The sequence below is a fragment of the Homo sapiens genome, chromosome 18 (genome assembly GCF_000001405.40).
Source record: "Homo sapiens chromosome 18, GRCh38.p14 Primary Assembly".
NCBI classification, from domain to species: domain Eukaryota; kingdom Metazoa; phylum Chordata; class Mammalia; order Primates; family Hominidae; genus Homo; species Homo sapiens.
The window spans coordinates 47,176,394-47,182,610 of NC_000018.10; the positions used below are offsets into that span (position 1 = coordinate 47,176,394).

The 6,217-nt window shown below is 46.1% G+C and overlaps 1 annotated feature.

Moving 5' to 3' along the window:
- Positions 10–139: an enhancer, noted in NCBI's record as "active region_13286". NCBI's record gives its function as "activates an Ori minimal core promoter by ATAC-STARR-seq in GM12878 lymphoblastoid cells {active_cell/tissue: GM12878}" and the evidence as "EXISTENCE:reporter gene assay evidence [ECO:0000049][PMID:35858748]".

Below are 6,217 nucleotides of genomic sequence, written 5' to 3' on the forward strand. Positions count from 1 at the left end.
CCGGGAAGCCCCGCCTCCATCTGGCTAAGAACCGCCCCTCGCTGAAGACTGCAAGTCCTGCCGCTTGTCTAGACCGGTGATGTGCAATCAATGCTCTGATGTGGCCAGTGCTGCAGGTGCAAAATACACACCGGATTTCACACACTTGGAACTGGAACAAGGATGAAGAATATCCCAATAATTTTTTTTTTTTTGAGATGGAGTCTGGCCCTGTCGCCCAAACTGGAGTGCAGTGGCACGATCTCGGCTCACTGCAAGCTCCGACTCCCGGGTTCACGCCATTCTCCTGCCTCAGCCTCCCAAGTAGCTGGGACTACAGGTGCCCGCCACCACGCCCGGCTAATTTTTTGTATTTTTAGTAGAGACGGGGTTTCACCGTGTTAGCCAGGATGGTCTCAATCTCCTGACCTCGTGATTCCCCCCTCCTCGGCCTCCCAATAATTTTTAAATGTTGATAACATGTTGAAATGAAAATATTTTGAGGCCGGGCGCAGTGGCTCACGCCTGTAATTCTAGCACTTTGGGAAACCGAGGCGGGCAAATCACCTAAGGTCAAGAGTTCGAGACCAGTCTGGCCAACATGGCAAAACCCTGTCTCTACTGAAAATACAAAAATTAGCTGGGTGTGATGGTGGGCTCCTGTAATCCCAGCTACTCAGGAGGCTGAGAGAAGAGAATCACTTGAACCCGGGAGGCAGAGACTGCAGTGAGCCGAGATCCAGCCTGGGTGACAGAGCAAGAGGAAAGAAGGAAGGAAGGGAGGAAGGTTTCTTGTTTATTTTTAATTATTTTATTTAATGTGGTTATGAAGATACTGTAAATGACATGTGACGCTTGCATTATATTTCTATTGCTCAGTACTGCACTTGATGCTCCCAGGAGATACAGGAGATACTAATATTCCCATTTCAGATTTCAGAATGCTAAAACAAAATAACTGTTTTAAAATTACTCAGTGAGAAACATCCCCTCCTTGACCAAACTCCAACCAAGATCCTCTGAGCCTCTTCTTTTTTTTTTTCCCCCCCCAGGAACAGGGTCTTGCTCTGTTGCCCAGGCTGGAGTGCAGTGGCACCATCATAGCTCAATGCAGCCTTCAGCTCCTGGCTCGAGCAGTCCTCCTGCCTTAGCCTCCTGCTTAGCTGTATGTGATGGTTAAGACTGAGTGTCAACTTGATTGGATTGAAGGATGCAAAGTATTGATCCTGGGTGTGTCTGTGAGGGTGTTGCCAAAGGAGATTAACATTTGAGTCAGTGGGCTGGGAAAGACAGGTCCACTCTTAATCCAAGTGGGCACCATCTAATCAGCTGCTGGAGTGGCCAGGATATAAAGCAGGCAAAAAACCAATGAAAAGGGTATGCCAAGACCAGCTCGGTTGGGGAGACCCTAACCCAGCGGTGCTAGAGGAATTAAAGACACACACAGAGGTGTGAAGTGGGAAATCAGGGGTCTTATAGCCTTCAGAGCTGAGATCCCCGAACAAAGATTTACCCACGTATTTATTAACAGCAAACCAGTCATTAGCATTGTTTCTATAGATGTTAAATTAACTAAAAGTATCCCTTATGGGAAATGAAGGGATGGGCCGAATTAATTGCAGCAGGAACACATCCTTAAGACACAGATCTCTCAGGCTTTTGTTTGTGGCTTAAGAATGCCTTTAAGCAGTTTTCCAACCTGGGTGGGCCAGGTATTCCTTGCCCTCATTCCCGTAAACCCACAACCTTCCAGCTTGGGCGTTAGGGCCATTATGGACATGTTATAGTGCTGCAGAGATTTTATTTATGGCCAGTTTTGGGGCTAGTTTATGGCCAGACTGTTGGGGGCTTGCTCTCAACAAGGGTAGACTGGCTTAGCCTCCCAGCCTACATCTTTCTCCCATGCTGGATGCTTCCTACCCTTGAACGTTGGACTTCAAGTTCTTCAGCTTTGGGACTCAGACTGGCTTCCTCAGCTTGCAGACGGCTTATTGTGGGATCTTGTGATCGTGTGAGTTAATAGTACCGAATAAGCTCCCTCTTTGTATATATATCTCCTATTAGTTCTGTCCCTCTAGAGAATACTGACTAATACACTCTATTACAGGAATGGGTCATCCCGCCAGGCTGAGCCCTCTTCTTGACAACACCTCAATATTGGCCACTTAAAAACTACAGATTCTCAGCCTGGGGAACATGGCAAGACCCTGTCTCTACCAAAAATACAAAAAAAAAAAAAAAATGCCTCAGCTTAGTGGTATACACCTGTGGTCCCAGCTACTAAGGAGGCTGAGGTGGGAGGATCACTTGCACCCAGGGAACGGAGGTTGCAGTGAGCTGAGATTGAGCCATTGCACTCCAGCTTGGGTGACAGAACAAGACCCTGTCTAAAAAACAAAACAGGCTGGGCGCGGTGGCTCACACCTGTAATCCCAGCACTTTGGAAGGCCGAGGCGGGTGGATCACAAGGTCAGGAGATCTAGACCATCCTGGCTAACACAATGAAACCCCATCTCTATTTTTTAAAAATACAAATAAATTAGCCGGGCATGGTGGCGGGCACCTATATTCCCAGCTACCCGGGAGGCTGAGGCTGGAGAACGGCATGAACCCGGGAGTCGGAGCTTGCAGTGAGCCGAGATCACGCCACTGCACTCCAGCCTGGGTTACAGAGTGAGATTCCATCTCAAAAAAAAAAAAAAAAAAAAAAAAAAAACACTACAGATTCTCCACACAAATGATATGCATATTGTGTATCTCCTTTACCCAACACTAAAACACTTGAATACTAACATAGTTTCTTTTTTTAATTGTATTTATTTATTTTAAGACAAAGTCTTGCTTTGTCACCAGGCTGGAGTGCAGTGGCAGTGGTGCCATCTCAGCTCACTGCAATCTCCGCCTCCTGGGTTCAAGCGATTCTTCTGCCTCAGCCTTCTGAGTAGCTGGGACTATAAGCGCGTGCCACTACGCCCAGCTAATTTTTTGTATTTTTAGTAGAGACAGGGTTTCACCGTGTTAGCCAGGATGGTCTTGATCTCCTGACTTCGTGATTCCATCCACCTCAGCCTCCCACAGTGCTGGGATTACAGGCGTGAGCCGCTGTGTTTGGCTGAATACTAACATAGTTTCTAACAGCTCGCTGTTGCATTCAGTTGCTACTGTTGCTACTTGCCTGAAAAAGCTTCAGGCTGCCAAAAAATTTACTGTTTGTTTTAGCCAACACCTTACAATAGGCCCCAACCTTCCTTTCTTAGAGCGTTTACTCAAGAGGGCTTACAATTGTGAATCCTTCTCCTGTCCCTTTGAGATGTACATGTTTCTCCTACAACTCAGGAGCATCTTTCTCAAGGACCTGAAAGCCATCCCTTTAAAATGTAATCAATCATCAGGAAGGTTAAGAGCCTCTGTCTTCCAATCTCTATGGGAAGGCAGCCAACAGACACAGCTGGCCTAACTGCATCAACCAATCCTTTGTCGTTTATAGGATATTAACTCACACAAGGTCCCGCAATATGCCGTCTGCAAGCTGAGGAGCAAGGAAGCCAGTCCAAGTCTCAAAGCTGAAGAACTTGGAGTCCAATGTTCAAGGGTAGAAGCATCCAGCATGGGAGGAATATGTAGGCTGGGAGGCTAAGCCAGTCTACCCTTTTCACTTTTTTTTGCCTGCTTTATATCCTGGAAGTTTAACTTCCCTGTCTCTACTGAGACACCACTCATCTTCCTCCCTACTCCTTCATTCTCCCTTTGAAACACCCTGTCAGCCGGGCTCATGCCTGTAATCCCAGCACTTTGGGAGGCTCAGGTGAGAGGACTGCTTGAGCCCAGGAGTGGTGGCACGTGCTTGTGGTACCAAGCTACTCAGCTCTGCCACCTGTGTACAAATTGAAGCTGAGTTCAGTTCATGCTAGATCCTCTTTCCTATTGCAACAGTATATTACTGATTAAAATATGTCCTTACCAGTTTAAGTAGTATCTGGCTTTATCTTTCACAGCATTAATAAAAGGCTGAGTTAGAACACGTTGAATTTTAGATGTTATTTCAGAGCAAGTATGCAAAGTAATCACTTCCTGAACTTCACAGAGTACCCTAAAAGGGAAAAGCACCACATTAAGTCCCAGAAAGGACTTTGGAAGGCCCTAAGTTGCTACTGCTGGAAAAGACACTGGCCAAAAGAAAAGAATAATTAAACTCCCAAGAAAATATTAAGCCTAAATAGGCCAACTAGTTTGTGCCTACAGGGAAGAAAAGCTGTATTATTTCCCACAGATGTGCACAAACACTATCTCCAAAATCTAGCCCTAAGTGCAAGTCAGGTAGAGAAAGACACATAAAGATAAAATAAAGGGAATAAAGGAAACAACAGGATACCAAAAAATCCTCCTGTTCTTCAAGGCCCATAAAACTCTAGACACTGGTGATGGTAAATATCTTAGCCTGTTCAAGCTACTATAACAAAATGCCATAGACTGGGTGGCTTATAACACAAATTTATTGCTTGCAGTTGTGGATGCTGGCAGCCTGAGATCAGAGTGCCAGAATGATGAGATTCTGGTGAGGGATGCAAATTGCTGCTTCTTGTATTCTTACCTGGCGGAGAAAGAGGAAGCGAACTCTCTCAGGACTCTGATACACTAATCCCATACATGAGGGCTCTACCCTCATGACCTAATCTAATCCTAATTGACTCCTAAAGATCCCACCTCATAATTCACATTAGTAGGAAGGGTTTCAACATACGAATTTTGGGAAAACACAAGCATTCTGTCTATAAAACAGTGAAGAAAAGTTATTTCTGAGAGTGGAGAGTGGCTATTTTAGGATTTCTACATTGGGCTGTGATATGGTTTGGCTGCATCCTCACCCAAATCTCAACTTGAATTGTATCTCCCAGAATTCCCACATGTTGTTCGAGGGACCCAGGGGAAGGTAATTGAATCATGGGGGCAGGTCTTTCCCATGCTATTCTTGTGGTAGTTAATCAGTTTCACGAGATCTGATGGGTTTGTCAGGGGTTTCCACTTTTGCTTCTTCCTCATTTTTCTCTTGCCACCACCATGTAAGAAGTGCCTTTGCCTCCTGCCATGATTCTGAGGCCTCTGGAGCCATGTGGAATTGTGAGTCCATTAAATCTCTTTTTCTTCCCAGTTTTGGGTGTGTCTTTATCAGCAGCATGAAAATGGACTAATACAGTAAATTGGTACCAGTAGAGTGGGGCGTTGCTGAAAATATACCTGAAAATGTGGAAGCGACTTTGGAACTGGGTAGCAGGCAGAGGTTGGAACAGTTTGGAAGGCTCAGAAGAAGACAGGAAAATGTGGGAAGGTTTGGAACCTCCTAGAGACTTGTTGAATGGCTTTGACAAAAATACTGATAATGATATGGACAATGAAATCCAGGCTGAGGTGGTCTCAGATAAAGATGAGGAACTTGTTGGGAACTGGGGCAAAAGTAACTCTTGTTATGTTTTAGCAAAGAGACTGGTGGCATTTTGCCCCTGCCCTAGAGATCTGTGGAACTTTAAACTTGGGAGAGATGATTTAGGGTATGTGGCAGAAGAAATTTCTAAGCAGCAGAGCATTCAAAAGATGACTTGGGTCCTATTAAAAGCACTCCATTTTAAAAGGGAAACAGAGCATAAAAGTTTAGAAAATTTGCAGCCGGACGATGCAGTAAAAAAGAAAAACCCATTTTCTGAGAAGAAATTCAAGCCGGCTGCAGAAATTTATATAAGTAGAAAGGGGCCTAATGTTAATCCCCAAGACCATGGGGAAAATGCGTCCAGGCCATGTCAGAGACCTTCATGGCAGCCCCTCCCATCACAGGCATAGAGGTGTAGGAGGAAAAAGTGGTTTTGTGGGCAGGACCCAGGGTTCCTTTCCTGTGTGCAGCCTAGGGACTTGGTGCCCTGTGTCCCAGCCGCCCCAGCCATGTCTGAAAGCGGCCAACGTAGAGCTCAGGGTGTGGCTTCAGAGGGGGAAAGCCCCAAGCCCTGGCAGCTTCCACATGGCGTTGAGTCTGCAAGGACACAGAAGTCAAGAATTGAGGTTTGGGAACTTCCACCTAGATTTCAGATGTATGGAAATGCCTGGATGACCAGGCAAAAGTTTGCTGCAGGGGCAGGGCCCTCATGAAGAACCTCTGCTAGGGCAGTGCGGAAGGGAAATGTGGTGTTGGAACCCCCACACAGAGTCCCTCCTGGGGCACTGCCTAGCGGGGCTGTGAAAAGAGGGTCAC